Source organism: Homo sapiens, chromosome 12 (assembly GCF_000001405.40).
Source record: "Homo sapiens chromosome 12, GRCh38.p14 Primary Assembly".
Taxonomy (NCBI): Eukaryota; Metazoa; Chordata; class Mammalia; order Primates; family Hominidae; genus Homo; species Homo sapiens.
In genome coordinates this window covers 115,257,088-115,274,300 of record NC_000012.12, presented here as the reverse complement: position 1 = coordinate 115,274,300, position 17,213 = coordinate 115,257,088, and the positions used below count along the sequence as shown (strand labels likewise).

Below are 17,213 nucleotides of genomic sequence, written 5' to 3'. Positions count from 1 at the left end.
CTTTGGGACCACAGCAAAGTTGACACATAAAACTAACTATTGCAGCCTGGCATGCAATAAATATTGGGTAACAGAGAACTATTTCATAAGTGGAAAGTAGGTTAAGAGAAGTTCCATGGGTGGAATATCAATTAATATCAATACATTTTTCTTATTTATCTTATTGCCTGTTTTCCCCACCACAAACTAGGTTTCATGAAGAATGTGATTTTTACCTGTTTTTCACTACTGATTCCCAACCAATTAGAATAGTGCCTGGCACATAGTAAGCACTCAATAAATAGTTATTGAATGAATGAATGAATGATTGAATGAATGAATGACAAGTGCCCAACTCGTGTCTCTTATATTTTCTTTCATCTCTAGATCTCAAAACACCTTTATCTAGAGAAGAACAAATGTCTTGCCTAGGGCCTCTCATACCATGAAATGCGCTGTGTAGTCCAGGGAAGGTGTGAGCTCGATGGGCTTAATTTGTCTTAGAAATGCTTCAGACTTCTTCATACAGTCTCTTGCAGCAGAAGACCTAGTTTGGAGGTGGGGGTTGAGGAAGTTCATATTCCCCAGATGATGCCCAAGAATGACTTTGAGGGCAAGCTCTGAAAAGCCTCAGCAGTTGTCTGTGGCTTCAGTGTGAGAGATTCCAGAGTTTGCAAACCACAGGAATCTCACTCCTGGGTGGAGGCGAAACTTGTTTGCTAAATTTTCCTTCCCTTTCACACCTGTCTCCTCACCTCTTTCTCCCCAAGGGCCCCTCCAGCCTCAGCTCTGGGGCTGACACCTGCTCCTCTGAGGCTAGGTATTAAGAATGAATGACAGGCTCCCAACTGTGGCCTCAGCTCCCAGCTCTACCCATGCCTCATACCTCAAAGTCTTAGCACAAGTTTCAAGCTGTTTCAGGAGCTCTGGTAGCTTGGACCTTACTGTGAATTGCTCCTAAAACTGATTGTGAGTGTGATAGATGTCGTCACTCACTCAAAAACCTCACATCCCCTTCTTCTGAGCCAATGTAACCAGTTTTGTAATGATCGAAGATTTCTAGATTTGGAGGAAAGGAGAACATTTCCTTAGTCTCAGGGATGAGCATAATAGGCTCATATTATGATTCCTATAATCCTACTCCCATTTTCCAGGGACTGATTGGGAGGTGAACAGTGTCAGCTGATGAAATGAAGGAAGAAGGCTGGTGAAGACATGAGGCTTCCTTTCCAGGTAAAAACCTTATAAGATGGTTGGGTCACTCTTGTCCCTGCTTCCTGCAATTTGGGAATATTATACCTGAAGCTGCTGCAGCTATCTTGTGACCATGAGGTGTAAGTATGATCACGGAAAGCCACTATACTAAGGATGACCAAGTAAAATAAGGAAAGAAGCTGGGCCTTTGATGACATTGTTGAAACACTGAGTCAGCCCAGGAACTGCCTACCACTAGTCTTTTTGTTGAATGAGATAACACACGCTTGAATTAAGATACTGTTAAATGGGAATATTGTCACTTGTAGCCCAAAGCATTGGTAACTGATGCACTTAGCATTTATCCTTACTCACACTGAGCCATGGTCTGTGCTTGGTGTTTATACACATTAGCTCACTCAACCCCCACAACAACCTGTTTATTGTGCTCATTGTACAAATGAGAAAACTAAAAAACTCTTAGAGTCTAAGAAACTTATTGAAGGTGGCATAGCTAATAAATGGCAAAGCTTCAATTCAAATCCAAGGTTAATTCTAACAACCATGTTCTACTTTAATGCTCTTTACTATAGCATGATATTTTTTTTTGGAGGAAAAGGGAATATTGTCTTTGTTCCAGAAAAGAGGGAGAATTATGGTAAAGGGTGTTCCCCCAGACTGATTCTGCTTCAAGACACAGGGCTCCAATATTTAGATGGGAACCTGAGAAAGCAAGGAAAGAATAAATGCCCGGAAGACAAAACCCTGGAAAAGATGCTTAACTGAGAAGGGAGTGTGGTTTTTGTCTGCAATAATCAGAGTCTTCCAGAATTGCAGCCCACACCAGGGGGGTGCATAATAGTTAATGTGTGGCAGTACTTCAGACATAGACTGTCATTGTGGCCTCTTGGACAGTCTAGTATGGTCCCTTCCTCCCTCCCTCCCTTCCTTCCTCTTTCTCTTTTCTTTCTTTCTTTCTTTCTTTCCTTTCTTTCTTTCTTTTTTTGATTGAGACAGGGTATTGCTCTGTCACCCAGGCTGGAGTGCAGTGGCATGATCATGGCTCACTGCAGCCTTGATCTCCCAGGCTCAGGTGATTCTCCCACCTCAGCCCCCTGAGTAGTTGGGGCTACAGATGTGTGCCACCACACCAGGATAATTGTTTGTGTGTTTTGTAGATATGGGGTTTCATCATGTTGCCCAGGCTGGTCTTGAACTCATAGGCTCAGGCAATCCTCTCACCTTGGCCTCCCAAAGTGCTGGGATTACAGGAGTGAGCCACCGTGCCTGACTTGGGATAATTTTCATAACACCCAAGAATGATGCTGAAGCCTGGAAGGATTCAGCAGAGTGGAAAAGGAGGAGCAGGGCCCCAAGTTTCAGGCAGTGGCAACACTTGGGTAAAACACCCAGAAAACATGAGAGGAGGGTATGTCCAAGGGTCTACATCAGGCTGTATAGAGGGAGAGTGCAACAGAGAAAGAGAAAACTGGCTGGCCAGCGCCCCATGAGAGAGGATCCAGGATGGGTAAGTTTGAAGCAGGGGAGTCACAGAGTCAGATTCCAATTTAAGAAAGTGGGTTTGGCTGTGTCTCTACCCAAATCTCATCTTGAATTGTAGCTCCCATAGTTCCCATGTGTTGTGTAAGGACCCCAGTGGGAGATCATTGAATCATGGGGGCGGTTTCCTATATACTATTCTCATGGTAGGGAATAAGTGTCATGAGATCTGATGGTTTTAAAAGGGGAAACCTCTTCCACTCGGTTCTCATTCTGTCTTACCTGTTGCAGAGTAAGATGTGCCTTTTGCCTTCTGCCATGATTGTGAGGCTTCCCCAGCCACGTGGAACTGTGAGTCCATTAAACCTCTTTTTCTTTATATATTACCCAGTCTTGGGTATGTCTTTATCAGCAGCATGAAAACAGACTAATACACTTCCTGAAATGGATTTGGTGATACTTCTCATTGAGGTGTCATGAACTCACATTCTGGGGGTGGAGGGTGGTGAGTGGGGCGATTGCAGGTGGCAGTGGCATAAGAACAAACACAGTGAACTGTATAGACCCAAACAGGAAGATGATGTAAAGTGGGCAGGCAGCCTGGGCAACATAGCAAGACTCGATCTCTAAAAAATAAAAAGAAAAAATCATGTGGGCATGGTGGTGCATGCCTGTAATCCCAGCTACTCGGGAGGTTTAGGTGGAAGGATTGTTTGAGCCCTGGAAGCCAAGGCTGCAGTGACCCAAGATCATGCCACTGCACTCCAGCCTGGGCAACAGAGGGAGACCCTGTCTCAAAAAAAATTGTTTTAAAATAAGTAAAATAAAATGGGCAGTCCCCACCCCCTCTGAAGAAGTCTCCTTTTGTGTAGCAACAACAGATTTTTGCCATCAGTGAATAGAAAGTAAGTGGGGTCACTGGATCATGTGGTCCTTCTATTTATAATTTTTGGAAGAACTTCCAGTCTCTTTTCCATAGTGGCTTCACCCATTTACATGCTTGTCAACAGTGTACAAAGGTTCTCTTTTCTCCATGTCCTCTTCAACACTCATTATGTTTTGTTTTGTTTTGTTTTGTTTTTAAAGTAATAGCAATTGTAACAGGTGCGAGGTGATATCTCATTGTCGTTTTGATTTGTATTTCCCTGATGATTAGTGATGTTGAGCACCTTTTAATATATTTGTTGCCCATTTGTATGCCTTCTTTGGAGAAATATCTATTCAAGTCCTTTGCCCATTTTTAATCAGGTTGTTATTTTTGTTATTGAGTTGTAGAAGTTTCTTATATATTTTGGACATTAAAATAGCTGATATTATGAGATGTATGGTTTTCGAGTATCTTATCCAAATATGTAGGTGTCTTTTCATTCTGTTGATTGTGCTCATTGCTGTGCAGAAGCCTTTCAGTGATGTCTATTTTTGCTTTGGTTTCCTGTGCACAAAAGAATTAAAAACAATCTTGAAAAGATTTTCGCACTCCCACGTTCACTGCAATATTATTCACAATAGCCAGTAAATGGAAACCACCTAAATGTTCATGGATGAGTGAATGGATAAAACCATACATACCATGGAATATTATTCAACCCAAAAAAGAAAGGCAATTCTGACATATGCTACAACATGGATAAACCTTGAAGACATTATGCTAAGTGAAACACGCCACTCACAGGAGGACAAATACTGCATGAATCCACTTATATAAAATATTGAAAATATTAAAAGTTATAGATGCAGAAAGGAAAATGGTGATTGCCAGGGCTTGGAGGAGGAGGAAGAGCAGGAATTGCTGTTCAATGGGTGTAGAATTGCACTCATGCATGATGAAAAAGCTCTAGAGATCTGCTGTACAATGTCAGGCTTATAGTTAACAATATTTTACACTTAGAAATTGTTACAAGGATAGATTTCATGTTGTGTGTGTTTCACTGCAATAAAAAATAAGAAAGACAATGGAAAGCAAGAATTTTTACTCTTTCCATGGAAGCCATAACTGGAAATTTTCAAGTGCAACATCCCAGTTTTCTCGATTCTAGTGTAAGTAATTCACATGATTTAAACTGTTTGGAAGATGCTGTCAGTGCCCTTCCCATATCTCTTACACCAGAGACCAGCACACTTTTTCTGTAAAGAGGAAGATAGTAAATACTCTCAGCATTGCAGGCCATACATTCTCTGTCACAACTACCCAACTCAGCCATTGCAGTGCAAAGACAGTGCATAAACAAATAGGCATGGCTGTGTTCCTATAAAGCTTTATTTACAAGAACAGGCAGCAAGCTGTTTTTGGCCAGTGAACAAATCCCTGCTTAGATCATCTTAGATTAATTTGAAAACCTGTATCTCTCTTCTGACATTTTTCTGGCCAAGGAGCATGGTTGGCCATGCTCAGGGAAACCTGGAGGTGCTAGAAAGCCAATACCCCTGGAAACAGCCCTGAAGCCCCTCTGTTGGTAGAGCTGATGCATGCTCTACCCAGTCTCCCAGAGTTTCCCAGTGAGACTGAACTCCAGCTGCCCACAGCTGTAACCTGCTCAATATCACACCCTTGATAGGCCACTTACCTTCCTTGCCTCCCTTCAAATCTCCCCTACCAATATTTCCTGAGATTAGTTCCCAACCTTCTTGCATTTGTGCCAAGTTCTGGTTCCAGGGAAACCCAGCCTAAGATCTGGGTGTTTGATCTAACCATAGCTGTGGGGCAATTTTGATCCTCATATCATTCATTCACTCAGTCACTTATTCATTCATCAATTCAAATATCTTTCTTGAGGGCCAAAAATGCAGAGGTAAACACGTCTAAATGTCAACCCACAAGGAACTTAACCAAGTGAGGGGAGAGACTCACAAAAAGAAGTCCAGTGAAGGCACCATGAAGCTCCATGGAAGGCAGAGTGGGTGACCATCTGCAGCAGGGATTAACAAAGTATGGCCCATGGGCCAACTCCAGCCTCCTGCCTGATTCTGTAAATAAAGATTTACTGGCACACAGCCACATGCATCATCTACTTAAATATTGTCTGTGGCTGCTTTTCCATTATAGCAGCACAGAAGTGCTCTAGAGTAGTTGGGTCAGAGACTGTACGGCTGGTAAAGCCAAAAATACTTACTATCCTGCCCTTTACAGAAAACGTGTGCCAATCCGCAGTCTATATGACTAGGACAAAAGGAGATGGGAGCTATGCTAGTGTATAATGGTTATGAGCTCTGGATTCAAACCACTTAAGTTCAAGTCCTGATTCTGTCTTAATAAATATGTGACTTACAGGCAGTTACTTAACCTCGCTGAGCCTCAATGTTGCCTGTCTGCAGAAAGAAGGCCTCATGACAATAGCCTCTCCCTCGCAGGGCTCTTGTGAGCACTCAAGGAAACTCTGCATGTAAAGAATTCAGCATGGCGGCTGGCACCTAGCAGGTGCTGGGGGCACTCAGCTCCATCACTGTGTGAAGGCATCTTCAAGAGTCCCTGGTTGGACATAACTTTGGAATGCAGCTGCTGAGCTGCACACTGCATATAACTGAGCACATTCCTCTGATTCCAGCTCACTTCTGGGACCCAAGCCTCTTGGACTGCCTACCAATGAGAACTGGCATGGGAAAAGGACACATTCCATCAAATTATCCTTTTTTGCACATCTCAGACCTTTGGTCTTCTAAGGGAATTCCCAGCTTCCGGGAGGTGGTGGGTTGCAGCTATGGGGATGGAAACAGTTACTCTGAGGCCAGACATGGCCTTCGCCTGCTGAGCAGAGAGAGGGGCTGTACTCCAGAAGAGCCACCCAAGTTGCTGACCGCTCTGTTCTCCTGTGTCCCCCAACCATCTGTGCAGCAGAGGGCTGCTAATTGGGGTGCTCTGGCCCCAGACATCACAGATGATGCAATCCAGGGAGTTATCCATGGGAGTTGCTGGCATTCAGTCTCAGGGAAGCCGTCAGGCAGAAGCTGTTCCCAAGGGTCTGCCTAACACATCTCTCAGCCAGGATGTGTCATGGGGGCTGAAGCTGGGGCCCTGGTGCCTTCCGGCCTGACATTACTATTTCTAGCAGATGACAAGGGTCTGGCTTCCAGAGAAACTGGAAGGCCACTGGTTGGAATCCCTAAGTTATTTAGAAATGAGAACTGAGTCTTCTCAGCATAATGGCTCAGATGAATGATGCTACCAAGCGGCGTTCTGAGACTGACCCCAAAGACAATGAATCGTGTACCTACTCTGCAACATTTACTTTGCAATGTGAGGGACCTTCCCCAGACATCCTCAACTCTACTGGAAAACACCTAGATTTCCATTTTGTTGGTTTCCCTTTAGCCTCAAGGCCTTTGCATTTGCTGTTCCATCTTCCAGGAATGCTCTTTCCTACAGATATCAACAGCCACCCTCCCACCTCCTCCAGGTTGCTGCTCAAATGCCATCTTATCAGAAAGACCTTTTCTGACCATTCATTTAAGTCATACTTTCATATAACTCTCCATCACCTTTTACTCTACCCTGCGCAGCTTTTCTTCGTAGAACAAATCACTACTTGATATGTTGAATATTCATACCTTAATGTTTTTTCTATCTGTGGTCTCATTTCTCAAACCCGCCCCTGATGAAGTTCAATGGAACCAGAGACCTTGTCTGTCATATTTACTTCTGTGTCACTGGTTTCTAGGCCAGTGCCTGGCACACGGTAGGGGAATAAATAAATATTTTTTGAGAGGATGTCTGCATCGAGCTGGTAGTAATCTTTCACTCAAATATTTCTTACTCTTTGATCTGGCACTAAGTCACATCAATGCTACCTAAAAATCCGCGTGGGCATTGCTATTGACACCAATAATTATACTGTTGCAAAATGGATTTTATGTGAATAATAATGACTGTGGTAGCCATTGTTATGTTACGCTCTATAAAGCACAAGATTAAGATTAAGGTTAAGATTAAGATACAGCACTATGAGATAGGATGTATTACTATCCCCACTTTAGCGATTTAAAACCTGGAATCCTGAGAAGAAAAGTTGCTTGCCTGGGGCTATCCAGATCCTAAATGGCTGAGCTGTGGTTCAAACTCAGATACAGTGACAGTGAAAAGTCAGAAAGCATTGCTCAAATGCAAGTTACCCCTTCTGCCTCTCATCTGAAAATGCATCACTCTTGAAAGATTGGTCTTTGGGCAACTATAAACATTCAATTTCAGTATCCCATGCACCATGGGCCTGCAATAGGGCAGGCATTGCCCTGGGTACTGACCTAGTCCTTGCTATTCTAATATTTTTTGTTTGTTTTTTGAGACAGAGTCTCGCTTTCTCACCGAAGTTGGAGTGCAGTGGCACAATCTCAGCTCACTGCAACCTCTGCCTCCTGGGTTCAAGCGATTCTCATACCTCAGCCTCCCAAGTAGCTGGAATCACAGGCGCGCACCACCACACCAGGCTAATGTTTGTATTTTTAGTAGAGACGGGGTTTCACCATGTTGGTCAGGCTGGTCTTGAACTCCTGACCTCAAGTGATCCGGTCCCCTCGGCCCCCCAAAGTGCTGGCATTACAGGTGTGAGCCACTGCACCCAGCCTATTCTAATATTTTAATGCACGTGAAGCATATACTGCCCAAGCCTTGCTGAACACCCCTGTGTGCCAGCCCAGTGCTAAACTGTTTACATATATTTTTCACATTGATCTTCACAACAGACCTGTAAAATAGATATTGTGTCCTCCCATTTTCCACAAAAACTACCGAGGCTGCAGGACATTTCAAATCTCGGTTGCCCAGAGACACTCAGTCCACGCGGGGCCAATCATGTCATTGTCTGTCTCAAAGTGGGAAATTGGGGGAAAGTTTTCATTTTCCATTTACAATCAGGACAAACAAACAAAAAAGCAACTCATGAAGGATAATGAATGGAGGTTGAGTAAAGCATAGGTTTCCAATGCCCCAACGTCTTGCAATAACCAAATCGTCTTTTCTTTGTTTTCTCCTCCTTTGTCCTTTTGTGTTAGACATCTGGGTTTATGGTTTAATTAGAAAAATGGTTGCATTCAGCCAGTATCAAGGAGGAGGCCTTCTAACTTCTGGAAGCACTAGAGCCTCAGATGGTTGCGATTAGGTGGAAGGAGAGGTATAGAGACTTTTGGGTGCAACTCTTAACCATTTAGCTCCTTCAAGAAAAGTTGGCATATCACATCCACTACAGATGGCTCTTTAGCTCAAAAATGGCTTAATGAACTCCAGCAACCTATTCCCAGTATGCCCCTGCCCTCTTCCCACAAAATAAATTCCTCTTCATTCATTGCATTTGGGACACATCCATGCTCATCTTCTTTCTGCAAGGACATGGTTGGACCAGAGTCTAGGCTGCTCATCTGTGTGTATTTAGGCTTCATCTTCTCCTGGAAGAGGCATCAATGATTTTCAAGTGGAAAAAGCTTGGTGATAATTTCCAAGAGGAGGATCTTTTGAGGGAATGAATAGTGCAATATCTTCTTCAGTGGCTTCTTTTTATTGAGCTAGGAGAGCTCTCAGAGAGGGCTCATGCCATCTACCCATTGGTCATGCTCTAGCTTGAGACCTTCTTTAATTATTTACAGAACATCGGATTTCTCTCCCCAGTTATGCTTGAGTTACTTAAAGGTGGAGACTGCATCTGACTTGATTCTAGATGCCCTGAAACTCCCCTTGAATTCATGTGTTCTATGAATATAATTTGACAGGTTGGCTGGCTAAGGTGAACTATCGTTTTCATCACAGGAAATAAGTAGCCTCCAAAATAATGATAGTTATCTTGCAAATGCTGGTTTTGTGCCAGGCATTACGCTGAATATTTTATAAGCATGTTAGTCTATGACATCATCTCTTACCTCAATGACTCCAGTAACCTTGCAACCGTTGATCTTCATAGACTCCAGTTTTCGGACAGTCCATTCAATCGTAGAGCAGCCAGGTGATGTTTTAAAATTATAATTCTCATCATGCTACCACCCTGTGCAAAACCCTCCGGTAGGTACCCATAGAGTTGAATCCAAAAGTCTTGCTGTGATCTGTTTCTGCCTGTTCTGACATCATGCCACACTCTTGTTCTCTCTCACTGCAATTCATCCTCTCTTGTTTTTGCTTTTTATCTATGCCTTTTACATCCCAGGCTTGTTCTCACCTCACAGCCATTGTGTTGCTGATCCTTCTGCCTGGAACACTTTCTTCTCATTGTTCCAGACCATCCCATATGGGTTTTAGCTTAAATATCTTATCGTCAGAGCAGCCACTTGTGCAGCTTACTTGCCACTAAATCCCCAACGCCTAGCACTTTCCTGATACTCATTAGATATTTGTTATTCAATTCATTCCTCCCTTAGATGTTAGTTTTAAACTTGCAAATAATTATCTATTTTCATCCACTAGATATGCGCTGTCCAATACGGTAGCTATCAGCAAAATGTGGATATTTAAATATAACTAAAATTCATTAAAATCAAATAAAATTTTAAAATCCAGCTCCTCAGTTGCATAGCCATATTTCAGTAGCCCCTAGTATCTTGTGGCTGTATTCAGTAGCCCCTTGTATCTTCAGTAGCCAATAGCCACAAGATGCTAGGGGCCACCATATTAAGCAGTACTGATGTAGATCATTTCCATCATCATAAGAACTTCTTTTGGGTAGTTCTGCACTAGAACATAAGCACCCTGAGGGCCGGTAACTTGGTCCAACTTATTTACCATGGAATCCTCAATGCTTACCTCTTAGTTGGTACTTAATAAGTATTTTAATATATGTATTAACAATGTAAATGTTGGTTTACAATGTACCAATTATAAACCATTCATCAATAATTATAATGTAACAATAATAATAAGCATTTATTGAGGATTTACCACATGAACTCCTTGTGCTAACCTCTTTCCATGGATTATCTACTGATCCTTTAACTGAATGAGATCCTGGCTGTTACTATCCCACCCTTCATTACCAACACCACACAGGAGAGAACAGACTTTCTCTTCTGGGAAGTGGGAGTCATAGAAAGAAGCCAGGCCTTCCAGAATCTTCACTGGGGGGTTGTTTTCCCCATGCAGATAACCTCAGGCTGCCCTGCAAAATGGCCTCACCACTGGCTCTATCTTCATTCCAAGGAGAGGTGGTTATTTCCCTCACACAGACAGGAGAACAGGGTGGGATACATAGCCTCACCTCCTCTCCCATGTCTCCTTGCATGCCTGAAACAATTACATCAATCGGTGTGGACCTGCAGTGCTCAGGCAAACTGCACTGTTTGGATTCTTGTGCTCCATTTTCTGAAAATGGGTTGCATTTTTTTTTATGTCAGATGTTTACCTTGCTCTATTTCCTGCTGGTGAATAGTTGAGGGGTTCTTGCTGAGATGTGAATGGTCCCCACTGTAGCATAGCATCTAAATTTGTAAGTTGCACCAGACAAAGTGGACCTCTTTGAATTCAGGATATACAGGGACCTAACAAGTTTGGTTTGAAGTGATGACATAACACACTATGATTCAGAACATCTGGATTCTAGAACCACCACTTCCACCATTCAGCTTGGTGAGCCCATGAAACACGCACATTCTTACCTGGTTAAATAGTGGGAGCTGGAAACACCAGCCCTGGAATCAAATGGTGGGTTAAATTCTTAGCTCTACCACTTATCAGCACTGTGTTCTTGGAGACATTACCCCTCTGAGCCTCAGTTTTCTCTGCTGTAAATTGGGGATCATGGCAGGACCACTTCAATAGGTTTTTGTGATGATTTAACATTTATAAGGCATTCATTATTTTTCTTATTTTAAATCACTTATCTCAAAAATAAATGAATCTACACAAGGATAGACACATATGTTGTGCATATAATTTTTTCTGGATTCAGAGATGAACAGTGATGATGATGATGATGATGATGATATCTATGTCCCTACAATGTGCCAGACCCTAAACAAACTGCTATGTAATAATTATTTCATTCATTCATCACTGCAACCCCCTGAGGTCAGTATTTCTTTGTTTCTATTGTAGGAAAATAAAACTTTAAGGTTAAATTACTCCTGTAAGGTCACTCAGCAAGAAAGTAAAAGAGCTGAGACTTGAACCAGGTCTTGTCTGGGACTAACACCACTAAGTGCAACCTCTCTGGGCCAGTTTTTTCTTCTGTAAACTCAGGATCATAGTTGCCATTTTAGAGGGCTGATGAGAGGATGATTTCATCAGTACTGCAAAGTGCTTAGCATAGAATACCTGGTAGAATTTTCTCTTTGGAGATGGTAAAGGGAAGAAAAGAGAGAAGCCTAGAAAGAGCAAACAGAAGAAGAGGTGGCAATAGAAGCGGCCTGGAGACATGAACTAATTAAGGGCTTCATCACCAGCTCAATGATGTGTCAAGATGACAGTCAGTCAAGCAGATAAGGGACGATGAGTTAACATCTCCTGGGGGAAGCCCAGGCCTGAGATTGGCTGGCAGACAAGAGCACAACAGTGAAAAGGAAGCTGCCAGAAGGTTATTTACATGAAATTACAGTGAAGGATTTGAACTATGCCACCCTGGTGGCTTTAACTGTCTCTTGGTAAAGGCAAAGTCCAGTAGCCCTTGGAATGAATCCAAGGGCTGTATGAGCTAATGCAAGTACAGTGGGAATGGATATTTGGGACCATAAAAGACAGTATAAAAAGACTCACAACCAAGTCCTTGGAATCCCAGCTCTTACACATTTTGTCTAAGGGCAAGCTCAAGTGTAGTGCAACTTTCAGGCATGGCTGTATCCAGATGCCCAACACGATGCCATCAGGAATATTTATCTCACTGTCTCTGCTTTTAAGCTCTACCTCTTCTACACTGACTGTGTCCTAAGGCAAGTTCTTGCCCTGTGGTGTAAATATAATTCTGTTTCTTAGGCTGGGTTCCCTCAGACATAGACTCTGAGACAAGGATTCCAGTGCAAGTGATTTATCAGGCAAGTGACTCTAGAAAACTCTAGTACCGAAGTGAGAAGGGAAGGGAAGAAAGATGCATTAATAAGAAGGTTACCACTGTGGACATTTGATGCTCAATCCCACTTCCATGTATGAAAAAATACGGTCCACACCCTGCTGAGACCTCTGGGGCACAGTTGAATGCATATCTCATTCCAGAAATGAGTGAGCTGTGCTGTTGACTTTCTGACTTCCATCCACCACTGGCTGGGGGCTGCTCCCAGGAGCATTAGCTTCACAGCACTTCTGTGTGCCCTAGGCAAGCGCTCAGAGCATTACAGTCTTTCATGCTCAAAGGAGAAGGTGTTAGCATACTTGGAAACAGTCAGCACCAGAGGAATATAATGAGGCACAGTGACATCTACTTCTCCCCCACTTTCCCTCTATCTGCAGGAAAAGTTCTAGGTCTGAATCTCATTAAGCTGACTTGGGTCATACGCCCTTCCTTGAATCAAGCACTATAGCCAGGGGTGTGAATGATGCCAATTAGCCATACTCAAGAGAAGAGAGTCAACCTTGGCCCAACTGCACGGACCAAGAGTGGGGTGGGGTGGTACCCCAGCAAAAAATGAGGTGCCATGACCAAAGAAATCTGAGTAAATTCTATTCCAACAAAAACAACAGAAAAATATTGACTCATCATTCAACAAGTGACGACTAACTTTGTCACATTCCACCTCCTAATTTAGATGAATATCTTTCCTTTTGGAAGAGCAGGACCATTTCTGGCCCCAGAGCAGCAGTCCCACAGGGGACAGATACAAAAGTGAGTGTGGTTAGTCACTTTTAATTGCTCAAATTATCCTGAAATACACACACACACACACACACACACACGTATATATTTTTTTAACAGAGGCTTTGAAGACTTGTTGCAAATGTTTACATTTAGCCTAATGGAGCTAAGTCTCATTAATGACTGTGATACTGTTTGAGTTGGCCCTGGGTTTTGCAGAGTGGGCAATAAGCACAATTCCTATGCCCATGTGGCACTGTTCAGTGAGGGGATCTCAGTAAAGGAAGCTCCGACTCCTATTTTTCTCTTTGTAATTTGGCATGTGACATCTGGGGCTATTTCCTCATAGGGCCCTTTTGCAGTAATGTAGTTTAAGTACTTTGGAAAGGTGCCTAAGTAATGGCTATTATGTAATTTTCTTTTAAAGGTAGAGGAAATGACAATCAAAGAATCAAGGGGAGGGCTGAGGATCTGTGTCTGTCCCTCTCCAATGTGAAAATGTCAGAGGGCCCCCTTCACCCAGGGTAATTGCAAAGCAAACAGAGCTCAGGGTTCTTACAAAGCCAGGACTGCTATGGAGAAAAAGCAAGGTCAGCCAAGAGGGGCTGGTTCTTTCACCTGCATATTGTCTCTGAAACACCAAAGAAATGGAAAAAATTAACCCCCAACAAGCTGAATATGTTACCTGTAGCAAGTAACTTTGGTGGGAAAAAAGGCTGAAAGCAAAATGGTGTTATTAATAATTGACTAGAAGCTTGGCGCTACTGGCTTCTATTTGCTCATCCGTACAATGGGCACAACACACTTCTTAGGGCTACTATGAGAGTTAAGTTAGATAGCACTTACAATGTGCTATATGCACTGCAGCAGGGATTGCCAGCTGTTTGCTGAGAGCAATTTTCTTCTTTTTCCATAGCACTGCACTATGAGTTTTACCTAAGCACGCAGCTTCCCAGAATAGATGTCACATTTCCCAGCCTCTTCTGCTGTTAGAAGTGGGCTTATGGACTAAATTCTGGCCACTGGGATATAAGAGGCAGTGCCCTGGGGCAGCATCCAGGACCCATCCTTAAGAGATCACTGATGTGTGGCCTTTGCTCTCTCTCTGCTCCTTGCTTCGTCTTGCTACCTGAAACATAGATGCTTCCATCTTGAATCTTGAGACAGATCTACGAATGAGGGATGTGCGTGGAGGAACAAAAGGACAGAAGAATCCTAGGCCCTGGACATCACAGTGCTCCCCACTCATTCTTTCCTTTCCAAGTCACTGTTAACTGCGGATCAGCAGCCAAACCCTGTCCTGGTTCTTTTGCACGGAATTTGGCATAGTTCACAAATCTAGGTTTTATAGAAGGCTCTCAAATTTAGCTCACACTAAAATTGAGCATTTTTATCCCATCTCTTACTAGATACTTTTCCTTATATTAATCTCCCTAGGTAATGTGCAATTCCTTGGAAAGAAATATATTCTGTTCTTCTCCTTCCTGCCTCCATGCCACAATGGTGTCTTGCTGAGTGGGCAAGAAGGGTCAGCACTTTATATGACTTCCTGAGGGAAGGAAAAGCCAAACTCTTAGGGAAGCCCAGGCAGAATCTTCTGTCTTCTTGGTTGCAGCTTGGCCTCTTACATTTACAGCTGAAGCCTTCGGCCAGTGCCAGCATGAGCAGGTGCCAGATTTGAGCCTTGTTCTTAGACGTGGCCCCATGGTAGACGTTCTGAGTCCCTACATTTGCCTTACTTTCCCACAACAGGGTGGCAATTCATTCCCACTCTACTGGCTGTCACTTTAGTTGTGTTGTGTTCCTTGCCCTGGAATTCCTTTGTCCCTACCTTTCTACACTGGAACCAGAAGTATCTTGGAAAAGTTCAATCTCTAGGTCCATGTTAGCCCGATTGTGATGGTCACTGAATCTACTTGGATGTAGCTTTATCCCCATTTGGTAGCCCCAGACACATCACTTACTAAAATCACAAATGAGAATAGGGACTTTGTTGAACACTATGACATGTCACTCTGATTCCTTTAAGGAATGAAGAATTTATTCCTCCTACCATTGGAGAACTGAAAAAACTGTCTTCACAAGGTCATAACTCCCTCCAGGGTTACCTGCATCCAATGACTGGCAAACTTGGGGTACAAAGTCCCAGAGCTTCTGGCTCAATTTGGGACATCCCTGAAGACCATCCCTGCTCCTAAGCTTCTCATGGGCTCAAGTGAGTCCCATGTTGGGATTGCATCACAGCTCAATGTTTCCCTCTGCCCAATCTTGTTCCACATCTTGTTAATAGGGTATCCCCTCCTTTCCACAGGTGTTGATTCTAAAGGAACTCTTTAACAAACATCCTTAGGCTAAAGTTGGTCTCAGGATCTCCCTCCCAGGGAACCCAATTTGCAACAGGACCAGCCGTTTCTCTGTTACTCTTCTGCACTCTACAGGCCCATCTTCTGATTGTTTCACCCTACCTCTTCTGTTTCCACCTTCATCTTGCAACCCTTTAGGGCCAGATGGAATGAACAATTTCCTCTTCTTCTAGTTACCTTTTCCCATCAGCAGCAAGTCTCATGGCTTAGCTACCAAGGATCAGGACTCAGAACCAGAGCAGAGACTGTCTGGAGGGGCCTGGGGCCATGGAGGGAGACACTGTGCCAGGGAAGCTGAAATCATGGACAAGACAAGGCCATTGCCAGAGACACCATTTAAAGCATGAAGAGAGAAAAACCCTGGCTCTTCCCGTATTCCCACCCTCTAGGATTTTACCAGTTCTCCCCATTGACTGAAACTAACTGGAAACCAGTTAGCAAAGGAGACTGGGAAATGTAGTTTGTGGGGATCAGCTCTCCGCAATACAGAACCATGGAGAGGAAAAATGGGGAAGGGATCTGAAAGGAAGCAAGCCAATGAGTGTCAAATGCATTAGCATATTAAATGCTATGTGCAGGCAAGCCAAGACATGTGTTTAAGTATTTCTCACACATATCCGGACATAAAACTTTATGATTCATTTACTTATCAACCTATGATCTTATTGCATAATAATCTCAGCAGAACTGTTCAAAGCACATATTTTAGAACACACTGACTTCAACAGTCCCCTACACTGATTTTCTGTTGTTGAGCATTTAGGTTGCTTCTACTTTTTTTCCTTTTATATTTAGGATGATCATTTCTGTGTTGGTTTGCATAGACTCCTTTCCACTCTTTCACCAGCAAGCCTCACTCAGCCTTTGTAAATCTACTTGATCATCAATTTCATCAAGAAAGTATTTACCTGGCAGTGAATTGTGGCATGAAAAGTGACTTGTTGTAAATGAAAAGCCTGACTTGGTTATCCAGACCTAGGCCATAGAGTACAGAATGAATTGAAGACATAGTACACGGTATGATGTGCAGATACTGGGGTTTTGGGATGGGTTGCTGCACTTTATAGAGAAGGAAGGTCCTTTCATTGCCTTCTATCCCCTTGGTGATGTTTTCGGCCCTTGTGGGTTGGGTGATGGCAGCCTATTGTATCTAGCCTGGAGCACGCTCCCTCATCCTCTCTGCCACTTTGTTCCTTGCAGAAAACCTGGAAGGGCTAAGATGCCAAGTTATTTTGCAGTATTAATCAATCAGAATAAAACCACTCTCAACTAGGCTGAACAATAGGGCATCTTGTTAAAAATAAGAAAAAATTTTAAAATGTCTATCTCACAATGAAAAAAATGGCTCTGGTAATGCTCAGTGTTTGCTGGGAGTGAATTGTGCCTTCTTTCTGGGTTTTGTGGGTGTTGGATTCTTGTGCTGATATTTTTGTGCCTGTAAAAGATGTCAAGTCCTTTGAGCTTCGTAAAGATAGAGGAGGATGTAGGAAAG

General features: G+C 43.1%; 1 long non-coding RNA gene across 1 annotated transcript in view; it reads left to right on the top strand.

Moving 5' to 3' along the window:
• LOC124903082 (uncharacterized) overlaps positions 1-4,272 on the top strand; it is an 85,010-nt gene extending 80,738 nt beyond the window's left edge. The window contains exon 5 of the long non-coding RNA XR_007063601.1: positions 1,134-4,272. This is a non-coding gene — a long non-coding RNA (uncharacterized LOC124903082). The remainder of the gene's footprint in view (positions 1-1,133) is intronic.
• Positions 4,273-17,213: the final 12,941 nt, after the last annotated feature.